The 17,439-nt window shown below is 37.1% G+C and overlaps 1 protein-coding gene and 1 long non-coding RNA gene across 23 annotated transcripts in view; one reads left to right on the forward strand and one right to left on the reverse strand.

Moving 5' to 3' along the window:
- Positions 1 to 5,561, reverse strand: part of LOC105374418 (uncharacterized) — a 32,695-nt gene extending 27,134 nt beyond the window's left edge. Inside the window, exon 1 of the long non-coding RNA XR_925235.4 lies at positions 5,522 to 5,561. This is a non-coding gene — a long non-coding RNA (uncharacterized LOC105374418). The remainder of the gene's footprint in view (positions 1 to 5,521) is intronic.
- KLHL5 (kelch like family member 5) overlaps positions 1 to 17,439 on the forward strand; it is a 98,275-nt gene that overhangs the window by 51,376 nt on the left and 29,460 nt on the right. For all 22 annotated transcript variants that reach the window (XM_047415754.1, XM_047415755.1, XM_047415749.1 and 19 more), the window contains 4 exon segments: positions 490 to 676; positions 7,085 to 7,309; positions 11,367 to 11,529; positions 16,818 to 17,030. In XM_047415754.1, coding sequence (XP_047271710.1) covers positions 490 to 676; positions 7,085 to 7,309; positions 11,367 to 11,529; positions 16,818 to 17,030 — 788 coding nt within the window.

Below are 17,439 nucleotides of genomic sequence, written 5' to 3' on the forward strand. Positions count from 1 at the left end.
ACCAATCACTGTTTGGAGTTCTTTTCCCCTTGAGAAACTGGTAACTTTTGTTTTTGCAGTTGTGAGCTGAACATCATTTAGCAAAGTTAAGTGAACGCAGCATAATTAGTCAACTCCTACTTATAATTATTCTTCCATTAGAATTATTTCTGATTTTAATAGTAAAATTATTTATTTTAGAAAATCTGGAAATTATAGAAAAGTAGTAAAAAAAACTTTATTTAAAAAGCACCAGTATTCCTACTACCCAGAGATAAGCACTACAGTACTAAGATTTTAGAGTATACCATTTATGCTACTTGTGTTTTGTTTTTCAATGAAATTTAAAATGTAAATCTTGTAAATGTTGCATATTTTAGTTAAAAATATGTGCCTATGCTTGAATTTTTTAAAAATATGTAAAATCCATTTGAGAACTATGTCATTTTTTTCTGTAAACCCTACCATTTTCTTAGTCATTCAGTATACATACCTACTATTCTTTTCTAGTTCCTGGCAGACATGGAAAATAATGTACTTTTTCGGGATGATATAGAATGTCAGAAACTCATTATGGAAGCAATGAAGTACCATTTATTACCAGAGAGACGACCCATGTTACAAAGTCCTCGGACAAAACCTAGGAAGTCAACTGTTGGTACATTATTTGCAGTTGGGGGAATGGATTCAACAAAAGGTATCAAATAATCTTTTATTTGGGGAGGGAGGACCAGAGAAAAAGATATTTTAATAAGTGTATATATGGCCAAAGAACTCTTTGGAGAAATGGCTGGCTGCAGGACAGGGGCAGAAAAAGTACCAGATAATTGTGTAACATCCTCTAGGCCAGAAAATAAGGAAGTGCTCAAAGAATGATGGAGATAGGTCAAAAGACACAGGAAACAGCTTGCAGGGGCTACTACTGTACAAATCTGGGATAATTTGAGCATCAAAATAAATAATAGTAAAATATTATAACCTATGAAATCAGTAAGTTTCCACGGTTCCACACCTATACAAATAAACAAGGGAGAAAGGAAAGCTCTTCCTTACAGAAGAATGCCAACGAATGAATATAGAAGGAAAGATGAGATTACAAAAGTTACCATTTAGTAACCACCAATAACCAATTCAGTCAAGAATTATCAGCGGATGCTGAGACTAGTGGGAAAAGTTTGAGAACAAGATAGTCTAAAAGTGTCTCTCAGCCACATGTTTACTAGTTACAAAGAGTAAAATAGTGTATTTACAGTAGAAAAACCTGGCACACAGCACTTAAGCAAACGATCAAAGATAATGTTGACAGAAATCAGACTAAGCAGCAGCATTGTGCAAGATAGGTTGCACGGAGAACTTAGCCGCCCATCTATGCCGTCCTTGCCAGGAGCATATAACCTGAATCTAATCATGAGGAGGAAACAAATCTAAGTTGAGAGACAGTCTACAAAATAACTTATCTGTCTATAGTATTCAAAAATGTCAGTGTCATGAAATATAAAAAAGATTCAGAAATTGTTCCAGATTATAGGAGACTAAAGAGACATGACAGCTATTATAATGCATCATCTTGGATTTTCTTTTGCTGTAAAGGACGTAACTGAGACAAATGATAAAATCCAAACAAGGTCTGTAGATTAGATAATAACATTGTATAAATGTTAATTTCAGGCCAGCTACTGTGGCTCACGCCTGTAATCTTAGCACTTTGGGAGGCCGAGGTGGGTGGATTGCTTAAGGTCAGGAGTTTAAGACCAGCATGGGCAATATGGTGAAACCCCATCTCTATCAAAAATACAAAAAAATTAGCCCAACAATGGTGGTGCATGCCTGTAGTCCCAGCTACACGTGGGAGGCTGAGGCAGGAGGATCACCTGAGGCCAGGAAACAGAGGTTGCAGTGAGCCGAGATTGCACCACTGCACTCCAGCCTGGGTGACAGAGCAAGAATCCATCTCAAAAAAAAAAAAAAAAAGTTAATTTCCAGATTTTGATTATTGTATTTTGGTCTTATAATTTCTCATTTTGAGGAAGATACACTGAGTATTAGGGGTATAATGCCATCATTTCTGCAAGTTACTGTTTTTTTGTTTTTTTTGTTTTGAGATAGAGTCTTGTTCTGTCACCCAGGCTGAAGTGCAGTGATGCTATCTCAGCTCACTGCAACCTCTGCCTCCCAGGTTCAAACAATTCTCCTGCCTCAGCCTCCTGAGTAGCTGGGACTACAGGCACATGCCACCACACATGCCTGACTAATTTTTGTATTTTTAGTAGAGATGGGGTTTCACCATATTGGCCAGGCTGGTCTCAAACTCCTGACCTCAAGTGATCTGTCCGCCTCAACCTCCCAAAATGCTGGGATTACAGCTATGAACCAGCGCACCGGGCCACAACTTTTTTTTTTGAGATGGAGTCTCGCTCTATCACCCAGGCTGGAGTGCAGTGGCATGATCTCGGCTCACTGCAAGCTCCGCCTCCTGGGTTCACACCATTCTCCTGCCTCAGCCTCCCGAGTAGCTGGGACTACAGGCACCTGCCACCATGCCCCGCTAATTTTTTTGTACTTTTAGTAGAGATGGGGTTTCACCACGTCAGCCAGGATGGTCTTGATCTCCTGACCTCGTGATCTGCCCTCCTCGGCCTTCCAAAGTGCTGGCATTACAGGCATGAGCCACAGTGCCCGGCCACAACTTACTCTTAAAACAGTTCAGGAAAAAAAAAATACCTACATAGCAAATACAGTAAAAAGTAAACATTTGGGAAAACTGGGTCAAAGGAATCTTAAGAATTCTTTGTACCACTCTCACAAGTTATTATTAATATTAAAAATAGGCCAGGATTATGCCTGTAATCCCTGCACTTTGGGAGGCCAAGGCGGGTGGATCACTTGAGGTCGGGAGGTTGAGACCAGCCTGGCCAACATGGCGAAACCCCATCTCTACTAAAAAATACCAAAAAAAATTAGCCAGGCATGGTGGCAGGTGCCTGTAATCCCAGCTACTCAGGTGGCTGAGGCAGGAGAACCACTTGAACCCGGGAGGTGGAGGTTGCAGTGAGCTGAAATCATACCACTGTACCCCAGCCTGGGCAACAGAGCAAGAGTCTGTCTCAAAAAAATAATAATAGCTAAAAATAATAGCAATAAACACTATGCACAGTGCCTACAGGGTGTCAGTATTATGCTAGAAGCTTTCTGTGTGTTATCCCTCAATATGCATTGATCTCCCCTTTCTTTGAACTCCTAGTACTAGCAGGCTTCAATCTCCTGACAATCTCTCTGACTTCTGGCTACCTCTCTGATGTCAGCTCATTCTATTAATACTTCTTCCCTCACTGATGCTTTTATTTCAACCCCATTGGCCTTTTCATTCATCTAACAGGCCAAACATTTTATCCATATCCAGGATATTGCTTTAGCTGATGCTCTCACTGGCATGCTCTGCCCCCGGATATTGAAGTACCTAGCAGAAATTATTCACTCAAATCTCTCAAATGTCAGCTTACCAAGGAGCCCTTCCATGACCATTCAATAGCAACCCCCGACTACCACTTTCTAACCTGAATAACATATAACATAGCGCTATTTATTTGTAGATGCTTAAGTTTTAGATATAGGCCTGATGACTGCATGGTACAGAAATAAATAACTTAAGATAACTGATTAGGGTTACAGTATAAATATTTCAACATTGGAAAAGATTTTCCATTGTTCAGATAATCTGCAAATACTTATTAAGTATCATCTGTGTACCTGGAACTGGTGCTAGCTTTTGTAGTCATTACTAGCACTCTTCTTCTCCCTCTTTTTCTCTCCTTTTCAAGGCTTTAACTGTTATCTCTATATTTATGTATAATACCCTCACTTTGATTTTATTCTCATATTTCCAACTTGTATAAAATATCTATTTGATGCTCAGCTTTTAACTCAAACTTGGTACATGGAAAGGGAAGGAAACTTGCCTTGGTACATGGCAAGGAAAATGCGTATCTGTCTTTTCAGCTTTCTGGGAGATGAGTTCCTGCTTCCCATCAAGGCTCATACATACAGTGGAAAACTCCCCAAGCTTGGGAAGGGGACTAGATACTAAGCACCCAAAGTAAACAATTCTCATTCTCTCTCTGTCTCTCTGGAACCTTAAATTCTGACAGTCATCAGGTCTTTTTTCAAATGGGCCTTATATCTAATTCTTCCAAATTTCTGCTGCCATCCTTCTAATTCCAGTTAGCCTTCTGTCAGCCTACATATTTTGGTCATGTTAATTTAGAGGGAATAGCATTCATTATGTTGTTAATATATGGAAGGCATTATGCTAAGCACTTAGCCTATATTATTTCATTTCATCTTCTTAACAGTTCTCTTTTATAGATAGGGAAGCTAAGACTTGGAGAACTTAAGCAACTTTCCAAAGATTAGACAACTAATTAGTGATAAGATCAAGATTCAAACAGGCATTTTGGCTTTGGAGATGATACTCTACTCCATTAACTCTTCAGTGAACATGCCATTATTCTGCTCAAAAACTCCAGCAGTCTATTTCTTACCACATAAGATGCAAATGCCTCATTTAAGACTTTCTCTAATCTGGCCCTTCTGTTTGACCAACTTTATTTCTGAGTTTTTTTAGTGATTAAATATTCTGACCTATCCTGTTCAAGCTATCTGCCTGGCCCTAATTTATCTTATTTCCCATCTTTGTAATGAAGAGCAGTTTGCCTTAGTCGGTTGGTAGTCTGACCATTGGACTCTTGGTCCCTTCATATATCTGTTTAGTATAGGGCCAAACAAATCAGCTAATACGGGCTCCAAATAGCCACTGTGAAAATGTTAGAGTATATTTGTGCTTACTTTTATAAAAGGTTAATTATTTGGTATAAATTAGGGAAGTCCCAAGCATTTACATAAAATTTTATAATTATTAGGATTTTGTTAATTTTGGATATTTGGATTTTATATATATATATATATATATCTACCTGAGACTGTGTTTTAATATCTTTATGTTTGAAATTAGCAAAATAACTTTTAGTTACCAATTCATATGAATATGATACTGCTTAGTAAACTAGATCTAAAAGAAATAACTTAAAATTCAAAAGAAAAGTATTCCCTAAATGTATTCATGAAGAAAGATGATTAGCTTTTTATTTGTTGGAGGGAATTTTCTAATTTGATTTGATTTATTTAATGGAAGGGATAATATTTTAAGATCAAATTTAGAGTAATTAAATATACTATTACTATGTATGTTACTATTATAATGTAAGCATATGAGTAAAAAACCTCACTATAGCTAGAAACTATAAAGAAAAAGTATTCAAACATATTTTTCAACAGCTGTACTAAGTATAAGGGACTCTGTTTGGTGCTGTGAAAAATACAGAGGTAAAGGCCGGGCAAAATGGCTCATGCCTGTAATCCCAGCACTTTGGGAGGCCAAGGCGGGAGGATCACTTGAGGCCAGGAGTTCGAGACCAGCCTGGCCAATACAGCAAAACCCTGTTTCTACTAAAAATACAAAATATTAGTTGGGAGTGGTGGTACATACCTGTAATCCCGGTTTGGGAGGCTGAGGCACAAGAATTGCTTGAACTTGGGAGGTGGAGGTTGTGGTGAGCCGAGATCATACCACTGCACTCCAGCCTGGGTGATAAAGCAACAGTCTGTCTCAAAAAAAAAAAAAAATATATATATATATATATACACACACACACACACACATATACACACACACACATATATATATACATATATACACACATATATACACACATATATATACACACACATATATATGTATACATATATATATATATATGCATGCAGAGGTAGAAAAAGACTTGTCTATCCCAAATAATTTAGAATTCTGTAGGGTAAATAAAAAATAATAAAAACTATAACACGAGAAAATCTATATGTATAACACAACTATTTCTAAATTTTAGGAAGTTATCAATAATACTAGTGCTCTGATGACCAAATTATAACAAATACTTTAGAATAAGTGTTAGTCAAGATTATAATTCTATAAGGCTAGCGCGGCTTACATGATGTATTAGAAGCTTAGAAGAGAGAAGTGGGTTCTAGTTGAACTCTTCACAATTGGGGGTTAGGTTTTTTTAGAGGGTTTTGTTTTTTTTGTTTTTTTAAACATCTGCTCATCTTAACTCATAAAGAGAACAAAGGAGTCCTGGAATCTTCCAATTCTTAAAAAAAAAAAAAAAGAAAAGAAAAACATAGATGCCTTCAGGCAGCAACTTCCTGAACTCCCTACCGTCATAGTTCCCAAAGTACCCGATCCGTACTTACCCCGCCCTTGCTTATTGCAGTAGAATATGTTCCCTCCTCCCGTGAAAGACAGCTCTTCTGCCTATGCCCTGGATACTGTGCTTTCCTGCCTCCCCACGAACCATAATGAACATGGTTCATTATGTTCGTTATGATCCCTTTCATCTCCTGTATTTTTAGCTGCTTTCCTCTCAACCAGATCCTTTTCATTCACATTTAAGCAAACTCTGAGTTTTCAAATTTTCAAAGCAAAACAAAACAAAACCTTCCTCAACTCTTCTAGTAATTTCTATCTCTCCTTACTTTGATAGCCAGACTTCTCAGAAGAATCTTCTATGCTCACTGTGTTTCTTCATCTCCCAGTCACGTCTCAACCACTCAATAAGGAACCTCCCCCTGAAGTCATCAGTGACCTCTGTGTGGCTAAATCCAATAATACTTCTGAGTCTTCATCTTATTTGATCCTTTCAGTAGGATACTGTTAGCAGACCTACTGCTATAAACTTTCTTCCTTTGGCTTCCATGACACTTAACGCCTCTGCTTTTTTCTCCCCCGCTTCTGGGTGTTGTTTCTCACCCTCCTTTGACAGTTAATCCTTGTCCATTTGACCTTTTCTTACTGGGGCCTGTGTATGCCCTGGAGAATAGTAGGAGATGAGGACACAGAGGTAGGCAGAGGCTAGATCATGCAGGACCTTCATGAAATATAATAAAATTATTATTCTCAATGCTAATAAGATTATATTTTTGTATCTGTAATTTCATAAAATTACCAATCATGGTATAATTTCTATTTACATAACTTCTATATATTACTATGAAGGAGCAACAAGCATTGAAAAGTATGATCTCCGTACAAATATGTGGACTCCAGTAGCAAATATGAATGGGAGGAGGCTACAGTTCGGTGTTGCAGTGCTAGATGACAAACTGTATGTGGTTGGAGGAAGAGATGGACTGAAGACTTTGAATACTGTAGAGTGCTACAACCCCAAAACAAAAACTTGGAGTGTGATGCCACCTATGTCCACACATAGACATGGCCTTGGTAAGTACAACTATGCAGATTCACTCAAAATATCACATAGCTCCCACGGCACATTTACATTCTGAACCAGGCAGAGGACCCGTGTGGCAGCCACTGCGTCAGCAGCAGTCACCAAGCATTCCTCACATGCTGCAATAAAGAATTTGGTAGGTCATCATAAAAGATGAGGCCGGATGCAGTGGCTCATGCCTATAATCCCAGCAATTTGGGAGGCCAAAGCAGGAGGATTGCTTGAGCCTAGGAGTTCAAGACCATCCTGGGCAACATAGGAAAAAAGTCTCTACAAAAAATTTAAAAATTAGCTGGGAAATTTTTTTTTTTTAATTAAAAAATTTGGTGGCTTGGCCTATAGTCCCAGCTACTCAGGAGGCTGAGGAGGGAGAATCATTTGAGCCTGGGAGGTCAAGGCTGCAGTGAGCTGTGATTGTGCCACTGTACTCCAGCCTGGCAAAACATCTATCTCAAAAAAAAAAAAAAAAAAAAGGATCAATACCAGTGAAGGTATGGTTGAGTTTAGATAGTATGGTTTATACAATACTCAATTTATTAATACCACCAGAGTAGAGGCTTCCCCCAAATAACAATAGAGAGTAATGAAAACTCTCTAGGGATGAAGATTGAAATGGGAATGGTGGTGGGTACAGTAAAAGATCAAAGAGACATAGATTTCCACTAGTTGTAATTAGTTCTCAGTGAAAGATGATTTTAAGTTTGATAAGGAAATAAAACCAGAGGGTTAAGGCAAAGACACAGAGAAGGAGCTTAAAATTAACTATATGAAATTTAACACAGTAAACTTGTAAAACATTACTCCTGAGTCCATAAAATCAACTATTATATAGGCACAGACTGGGAAAATGTGAGTTAAGCATGAATGAGACTTAGAAATTTGGGTTGACCATAAAATCCAGGGTAAATAGAGTGAGTCAACTGCGTGCTTCCCCTCCCCTACCATGGGGAAGAAAATATAATTCTAACACAGGCTAAATCCTTATGGATATAGTACATAGAATGTGATTGCTCATAGTCCAGCTGTTTCGTGCAGATGACATTGTGCATTGAATACTGTCATTAGTTCTAGGTGCCATACAAAAGACTTTATTGAACTGCAGCAAGTTGAAAGGAAAATGATCACATAGCTCAAAACTGTCTTCTTTAAGCCCTAATTTAAAATTTTTGTGTCATTCAAAGCAGCAATGTTCTTATTAAGTTACCTTATAATTAAATAACTGTTACAAATTTGAACTTAAGAAATAAACTTTTTTTTTTTTTTGAGACGGAGTCTCGTTCTGTTGCCAGGCTGAAGTGCAGTGGCACAATCTCGGCTCACTGCAACTTCCGCCTCCCGGGTTCAAGTGATTCCCCTGCCTCAGCCTCCCTAGTAGCTGGGACTACAGGCATGTGCCACCACGCCCAGCTAATTTTTGTATTTCCAGTAGAGACACGTTTCACCATGTTGTCCAGGATGGTCTCGATCTCTTGACCTCGTAATCTACCCAACTCAGCCTCCCAAAGTGCTGGGATTACAGGCATGAGCCACCACGCCTGGCCTAAAATAAACTTTTAAGAAACATTCCTTTTATCTCTTCATATGTGGTAATTATATGAAAATTTCATTTAAAAAAGGAGTTCTGCTAAATTTTTTTTTTTTTTGAGACAGGTTCTTGCTCTGTCACCTAGGCTGGAATGCAGTGGTATGTTTTTGGCTCACTGCAACCTCTTCCTCCTGGGCTAAAGCAGTCCTCCCACCTCAGCCTCTCTAGTAGCTAGGACTATAGGCATGCACCATCACACCTGGCTAATTTTTTAATTTTTGGTGGAGACAGGGTTTCACTATGTTACCCAGGCTGATCTCAAACTCCTGGGCTCAAGCAACCTGCCTGCCTCAGCCTCTCAAAGTGCTAGGATTATACTTGCGAGCCACTGCACCAGGCTTAAAATTTATTTTCAAAGTCATTTTTTAATGGGTTGAATTAGGTGAACCCCTTAAGTTTTCTGCCCCCTTTGACATATTATGCATTACATATATATGTATATATGTAAAATTAGAGATATACATATATCATAAACATGTATATACAGTATGTGTATATATTATATATGTATATTTTAATGTGTATTTATATGTTTATATATATACACATATAAAATGTGTATATGCACATATATACATATAAATAACATGCATGCATATTTATATACACATATATGTGTGTATATATGTATACACACACACACACACACACACACACACACACACACATAAAATCTCCAAAAGCTAGTACTGGTGGGGCACAATATATAACATATGAGTGGAACAATCTGTTGATTTGGATCATGCATGAATGATGAGTATTTTTCTTATCTGGCTGTGATTTCACAAATTAAAATATATCTGTAATACAGGGGTTCTTTTGGCCCCCAAGTGACATATTTTATCTCACCTGGCCATGATCATGTCGCACCTCTTCTCAAATCCCTCTACCTCAAAGCCATCTCAAAGCCATCATGGAGACCGTTCTCCATCTCATTCAGAATAAGATCCGAAGTCCTTACAAGAGATAAGATCAGAGTCCTTATCTGCAGTCTCTGACTGTCCTGCATGATCTGGCTCCACACTCTCCCCCATCTCTTACATTTCCCCCTCACTCACCCTGCCTAGCCAGACTGGCCACCTTGTTGTCCCTTAGACACAGTGAGCATACCTCAGGACCTTTGCACGTGCCGTTTCCTCTGCCTCACCTTCTCTTTCCCCAGCTATCTCCAAATCTGGTTTCCCAACTTCATTCACATTCCTGCTTAAATGTTACCTTATCAGAAAGGTCTCCCCTGACCCTCTCTATCCTTTTACTCTGCACCACTTTTTAAATTAGCACTTGTTATTACCTAAAATATATTTTATGTCTATTTCCTGACTATAAGATTTATGAGGGCACAGCCCTTACCCGTTATATTCTATTGAGTGCCCGGTACTTAGTAGACATGCAGTAGGTATTTGTTGAATAAATTAACAAATGAGTCTAGCTCAGCTCCGTGCTGATGAATCATACCAATAGATTATGGTATCAAATCTAACTATAGTAAAATCTCATGAATTTGAATTAACAGGGGGGAAGGTATAAAAATACTTTTCCAAATATATCTTAAATCCAAATTGTTGAAAAATGTTTTAAATAGTAGCAATGTATGCATCTGGTGCAGTTTTAAAATAATTTTCCACTGTTGTACCTAAAAATATTGCCTCTAAAACTTTTAATTTTTTTTAGAGACAGCGTCTCACTCTGTCATCCGGGCTGGAGGTGTGATCATAGCTCAATGCAACCTGAAACTCCTGAGTTCAGGGGATCTTTCACCTTGGCTAAGACTATAGGTGATGCCATCACGCCTGGCTAATTAAAAAAAAAAAAAATTTGTAGAGATGGCACTCTTGCTGTGTTGCCCAGGCTGACCTCAGAAGAGATCCTTCCACCTTGGCCTCTCAGAGCTCTGGGATTACAGGCTTGAGCCACCGTTCCCAGCCTCTAGAACTTTTTTTTTTCTTTTTTTTTTTTTTTGAGACGGAGTCTCACTCTGTTGCCCAGGCTGAAGTGCAGCAGCATGATCTTGGCTCACTGCTACCTCTGCCCCCAAGGCTCAAGCGATCCTCCTGCCTCAGCCTCCCAAGTAGCTGGGATTACAGGTGCCCGCCACCATGCCTGGCTAATTTTTGTATTTTTAGTAGAGAAGAGGTTTTGCCATATTGGCCAGGCTGGTCTCAAACTCCTGACCTCAAGTGATCCTCCCACCTGGGACTCCCAAACCGCTGAGATTACAGGCATAAGTCACCGTGCCTGGGCAGTCTCTAGAACTTTTAAACCAGAACTACCGTGCTATTTCAACCCACCCACCCACCCACCGACCTACTAAGAATAGTGAGGAGGACACTTGTCTGCATCATAAATGTTTACTCAGTTCTATTTGTATGTTTAAGGCTTATTGTACTTATACTTCAATTAAAATGTGATTTTTAAGACAGCAGCCAATCTGAAGTCGTTAATTGTTTCCTGTCTCCTCATAGGTGTGGCTGTACTGGAAGGTCCCATGTATGCCGTAGGAGGACATGATGGCTGGAGCTATCTGAACACAGTGGAAAGATGGGACCCTCAGGCTCGCCAGTGGAATTTTGTTGCCACTATGTCTACCCCTAGGAGTACAGTAGGTGTGGCAGTACTAAGTGGAAAGTAAGGAAATATTTAAAGTTCCATTTAAAATGCAATACACCAAATTTATTAAGCTATATCATTTCTAATTTAAAGATATACATAAATACTTACAGTGATTTGAAGAAACTTTTAAAACAATGTCTCTTTCTATAATAGTTGTAAATATATTGTTTTAATAGTTGTTAAGCTAGGCTTTCATTTTAATGTGCAGATACTATACATTTTTAGTTATCATTTTGAGTGAAGACATTTTATATTAATGTTCAATATTAATAAGTTGTACTATAAAAATCTGGTATATCTATATTAAAATAATATAATTTAAAAGTATATTATCTATATTATGTTTAAAAGTATATATGGTCTTTTAAAAGTAGTGTAGTCTTTCTCAGTGTTTCTCTAAAAATTCCTTCCATCTTTTCTACTGATTTATCTTGACTTTTACCTCTTTTCTTTCTTATCTTGGAAAACTGGTGAAAACTAGAATGGATTTATAAAGAGGTACTCTCTTACCTCTTGTCTGCTCTGAATAAACAAATATAGGTAGAGCCATCACTAATAGCTCTCAGTTACTCAGAGAGTAAATATTTTTTCAGTCCTTTCTTCTTCCATAAAATGAAGCTGTCTGTGGTTGTTAAAGAAAGTTATTTGTGGGGTACCTTTTGCTCATTTAGAATGCTTTATCATTGTTTCCAGAAAAAGAAATGAATCAAGGTTAAAATAGAATTAAAATTATGTATAGAATTGTGTTATTGATTATTATAAGAAAAATGAAAAAAATAGTGAAATTTTTTATATTTTAGGACCTAAGATCTTGTTTCTTCAGGACCTGTCAGTTATGTTCTATTTTTTGATACTTTTTGTAAGCACTATTACATGTGATAAGATGGATAAATGGAAATCACTTTTTAGATGTTTTTTATCTCCATGCCCCTCCCCTCATTTATTTTAGCTAAAGAAATCACTTCAAAGTTCATCACTAGGTATCTTTCTAAACTCTTTGGTAAGAGTCAGCCATTAAAGAATCTAGTAAATGAGAAAAAAAGAAAATGAAACAGTATCTTCTTGGTTTTGACCCTTTGGTTTAAACCTTTGGGATTGATTCATTGGATTAATTTTTGTTCAGCAACATATTTCTTAGCCCTTATTTCTAATAGAGGACAAAAGAATAACTGCCTTCTCTAAAACCTGATTTCCGGACCTACCGTAGCTTAGATTTCTAGGCATAGAAACATCTTACTTACTTACCTTTTCTTGCCCTCTAATGAGAAATATTTCAATCCTTAACCCACCTAAAGTACAGTTAATTGAATATAATTCAGAGACAACCTAATTAATCATATCAGAAGCTAAGGATCTCTAATCTACTAACTATTAAGAAATTTGATTTTGAATGTATAGTATAACTAAAGAATCTGGAGTAAGTAGAAAGTATGCGGTTGGTTGAAAAAAACCAACGATGCATCTTTTCTTATCATTGCTTTGTGATTTAGAACAAATCATTTCTCTGTGCCTCAATTTTTTTATTCTGTAAAATGAAGAGCTTTGATTTTTGTGGTTTTTGTTACTTTAACTTATTACTTATTTATTTCTTTATTTTGAGAGAGAGTCTCACTCTGTCGCCCAGGCTGGAGTGCAGTGGCATGATCTCGGCACACTGCAGCCTCCTCTGCCTCCCAGGTTCAAGCGGTTCTCCTGCTTCAGCCTCCCAAGTAGCTGGGACTACAGGTGTGCACTACCATGTCCAGCTAATTTTTGTATATTTTGTAGAGACGGGGTTTCACCATGTTGGCCAGGCTGGTCTCGAACTCCTGACCTCAGGTGATCCACCCACCTTGGCCTCCCTAAGTGCTGGGATTACAGGCATGAGCCACTGCACCTGGCCTATTTTAACTTATTTATAATTTCTTTTTCTTTTTTTTTCTTTTTTTTTTTTTTGGAGGGGGTGGTGGGGAAGTGGACAGACTCTTGCTCTATCTCCCAGGCTAGAGGGCAGTGGGCAATCTCAGCTCACTGCACCCTCCACCTCCTGGGTTCAAGTGATTCTCCTGCCTCAGCCTCCTGAGTTCCAGTGATTCTCCTGCCTCAGCCTCCCAAGTATCTGGGATTATAGGCACCTGCCACCATGCCCAGATAATTTTTGTATTCTTAATAGAGACAGGGTTATTTACCATGTCGGCCAGGCTGGTCTCAAACTCCTGACCTCAAGTGATCAGCCCACCTTGGCCTCCCAAATCTTAAAATTTTTAAGGTGTTAAAATTTTTCTTCCTACCATGTTTGACAGAAAGAAACCTTATTTAGACTTCCAATTGCTCAGGCTACCTTTAAGCCACTGGCTGGCAAATATTTTTAGCAGTTGAATCTCTCTTTCAAATGAAATCTTAAAAATACCTCAACATTTAAAAGGCAAATGGAAGTTCAAGTTTATTTTAAACTTATTTAAAATGTATTACAAGTTCAAGCATATCATATTTACTTATTATAAAAATCTGTGAAGAAGAGTAAGTGCTGAAGAACAGAAGAATAAACTTTAAAGAACACAGCTTATTTCTGTGTTTTGTCTTGATTGTCTAATATGAGGAAAATCTTGATCCACAGATAAGAGGCTGAAATGGTAACAGTTATTTTAACTACTAGAGTAATTTAATTGGAATTTCAGGAAATTCTTCAGTTAAATTGCCCAGTTTGAAAGTAGTAATAATTTTTTTTCTAAGTTGAATCTCAAACAGTATCTGCCAATTACTTGCATTCCTTTTACTTTTGAGACAGGGTCTAGCTCTGTCGCCCAGGCTGGAGTGCAGTGACACAATTACAGCTCACTGCAGCCTCAACCTCCCTCCCAGGCTCAAGCTATCCTCACACCTCAGCCTCCTGAGTAGCTGGGACTACAGGCATACACCACCATGCCTGGCTAATTTTAAAAAAAATTTTTTTGTAGAGATGGGATCTCACTGTGCTGCCCAGGTTGGTCTCAAATACCTGGGCCTAAGTAATTCTCCCATCTTGGCCTCCCAATGTGCTGGGATTACAGGTGTGAGCCACCGTGCCCAGCCTACTTGCATTCTTGATCATAATTTTAAAAGTCAGGCAAGACCTAAATCTTATTATTAAGTATATATAGGTAGTACAATACTTTCACAACTTGACATAATATTTCTCTTTTTATTGTAATAGACACTATCGTGGTGAAGAGAGATGAGTTCTGAGTCTTACATGGCATTTAATTGAGCCAGGTGATATTTTTGAAAATTAAAAATAATTTTTAAAATTTGAAATTCAAATGAACCATTTTTTAGACTCCCTCAATTTCTTCATAGAGTCCTATTCTTAGAACACAGCTTGAAAATCATTGCTTGAGATAATGATTATTTAGGAAGTGTTACCAATTGGTTTTAACCCTTAATATTAGCTGAATATAAACATTGTTTGTACACTTAAGATCTCCTGTAAGTGCTATTTTCTACAAGAACACAGAGACGTAATTAATTTTTCTCTGTAAATGTTTATGCCATGATTATCATGTACTAGGCAGTGTTCAAAGTACTTTAAATTTAATTATTAAGCATCCTGTGAGGCAGGATTTATAGATGATGAAATTCAGTTGGAGGTTAAATAACTTGTCCATAGTCACACTAGTAAGTGGTAGAACCAGAATGCAAACCCACAGATTCTGGTTCCAGAGTTCATGCTCTTAATCATTGTACTATGCCATTCTTTACAATAAAGTCCCACGAATCCACTGTTCAAGAGGGTAAGATGCTTTAAAGCCTATTGTGTGTGGGTATGTGTGGGTGTGCACACGTGTGCACACACATATGCATGTGTGAATTATTTTAAATCATTGATATTCCTTAATTGTTAAAGGCTTCTCATGTTCTGTGATCCATACTTAGATAACTCTTCTACCAAGTATTAGTTGATGATAAGAATAATATTAAGAACTAGAACATAAACAAGTTACTAATAGATAAAAGTTTTTAACAGATAAAAAGTTTTATGATAAATTTTAATAGATAAGTTTCAAATAAATTTCAATTTCCATACTATTAATATAGTTTAAGTTTAGAACAAGATATTGCTATAACCATATGTTGCTGTTTAAGATATGGTCATCTTATTATTTAAGAAACAGTTTCAGTGACATAGTGGCATACCTTAATTAGGAAATCTGTGGTTAAGTATGTAGATTTACCCAAATATAAATAACTAGAGTTTTAATTGGCAGAAATTTGGGATACTTAAAATATTATTTCTTGAGAAATGATAAAAACAGTTAAGTATTAACTAACATTTGTAAATTCAAAATGTATAATCTTTTCTATGAGCAACAACGTAAATTTACTCTTTTAAAAAACTAGTAGAAAAAATATTTATGGAAAGCTTCCCAAATGAATAGTAAGTACAAGAAGATTTTTGCTTAACAAGAAATATTGTGTTCAAATATTTAAAATATTTTACAAACTTTTAGGTTCAGAGTAAAAGACTTTCAAATTAGTGCAGTGTATTGATTGATAATGAATTTAAATTGATCTACTAGGTAACATTTAGGTTGCTCACATGATAACCTATATCCTTTTCTGCAGTAATTTAAATTAATGAAGGATCATTGTTCATACATAACAAATGTTACTTTTTATGCCATTGTTTCAAGCTATATTTTTATTCTCCTATTTCACTATTACAAGTACATTCTACATGACTGTGTTGACTGTCCAACTGTTCATTAATGAAACTATGTGTCCCAATTCTGCTGCTTACTGGGTGACCCTGTGCAAGTCTCTTACTCTCTGTGAACCCTTGTTTCTTTACACTGTGAAACAGGGATTCAAACAGTTTCTCATATCACTGTGATGATTAAATCGGTACATGTGAAGTGCCTAACCTATGGTAGGTGCTCAGAGAAGGTTAGCTTCTTTCCTTGATAATAAAGTCTTAACTATTAAAAAAAAAGCCATGGTATATTTATACACCATATTTTGTCTATTCTAAGACATATTTTAACACCTCTGAATTTCCATGCATATTACAACCAATGGTGACTTGTCAAAGAGATGGCAGTGATGAAACAGTTGTCACTGCCTTCATGTGCAGTTTGTTTTCCTTTTCATGTATATACAGAGTGATATATGATACTTACATGTGTCATTTCAAACATAGCATACTTTTTTAATGACACACACATTGACAGTGTGTTTTATAACTGATGGCACCTTAAATTCAATGAGATAACAACATAAGAAGAGCCTCTTTGTTCTAAGCATAATGGCACATGTCTTATTTATCATTTCATATATTCTTTTTGCAGACTTTATGCAGTTGGTGGTCGTGATGGAAGTTCTTGTCTCAAATCAGTAGAATGTTTTGATCCTCATACTAATAAGTGGACACTGTGTGCACAGATGTCAAAAAGGAGAGGTGGCGTAGGAGTGACGACCTGGAATGGACTGCTGTATGCTATAGGGGGGCACGATGCTCCCGCATCCAACTTGACTTCCAGACTCTCAGACTGTGTGGAAAGGTAATTTCCTGGGAAGAAAAACTAGGAACAAAAAAGATATATATAAGTCTCTGATACTTACATATATTTGGAGAACGTGTTGGAGAATTGGAAGGGAAAGTCGGCATTCAAAAATGCAAAGCAACTTCACTTTATAACAGCCTGCTCTCACAGGAAGTGATACTTCCAGAAAAATAAGTTTGTATTGAGCATGCACTACATGCAAGGCAATTTTATTTTATATGGGATATTGGACCTAATAAGAAGAGGAGCTTGATGAATTTTAGGCAGAATGACTTAAGGGCTGTAGACTAAATAAAAAGCAAAAAGGATAGGGACATTTCTATGTGTTTTGATATGAAATAAAAAACTAATAATAAGGCTTACAAACGTAAGTCATCCCAACTGGCCTCACAAAACTCAAGTGTGG

This window comes from Homo sapiens, chromosome 4, assembly GCF_000001405.40.
Source record: "Homo sapiens chromosome 4, GRCh38.p14 Primary Assembly".
NCBI lineage: Eukaryota > Metazoa > Chordata > Mammalia > Primates > Hominidae > Homo > Homo sapiens.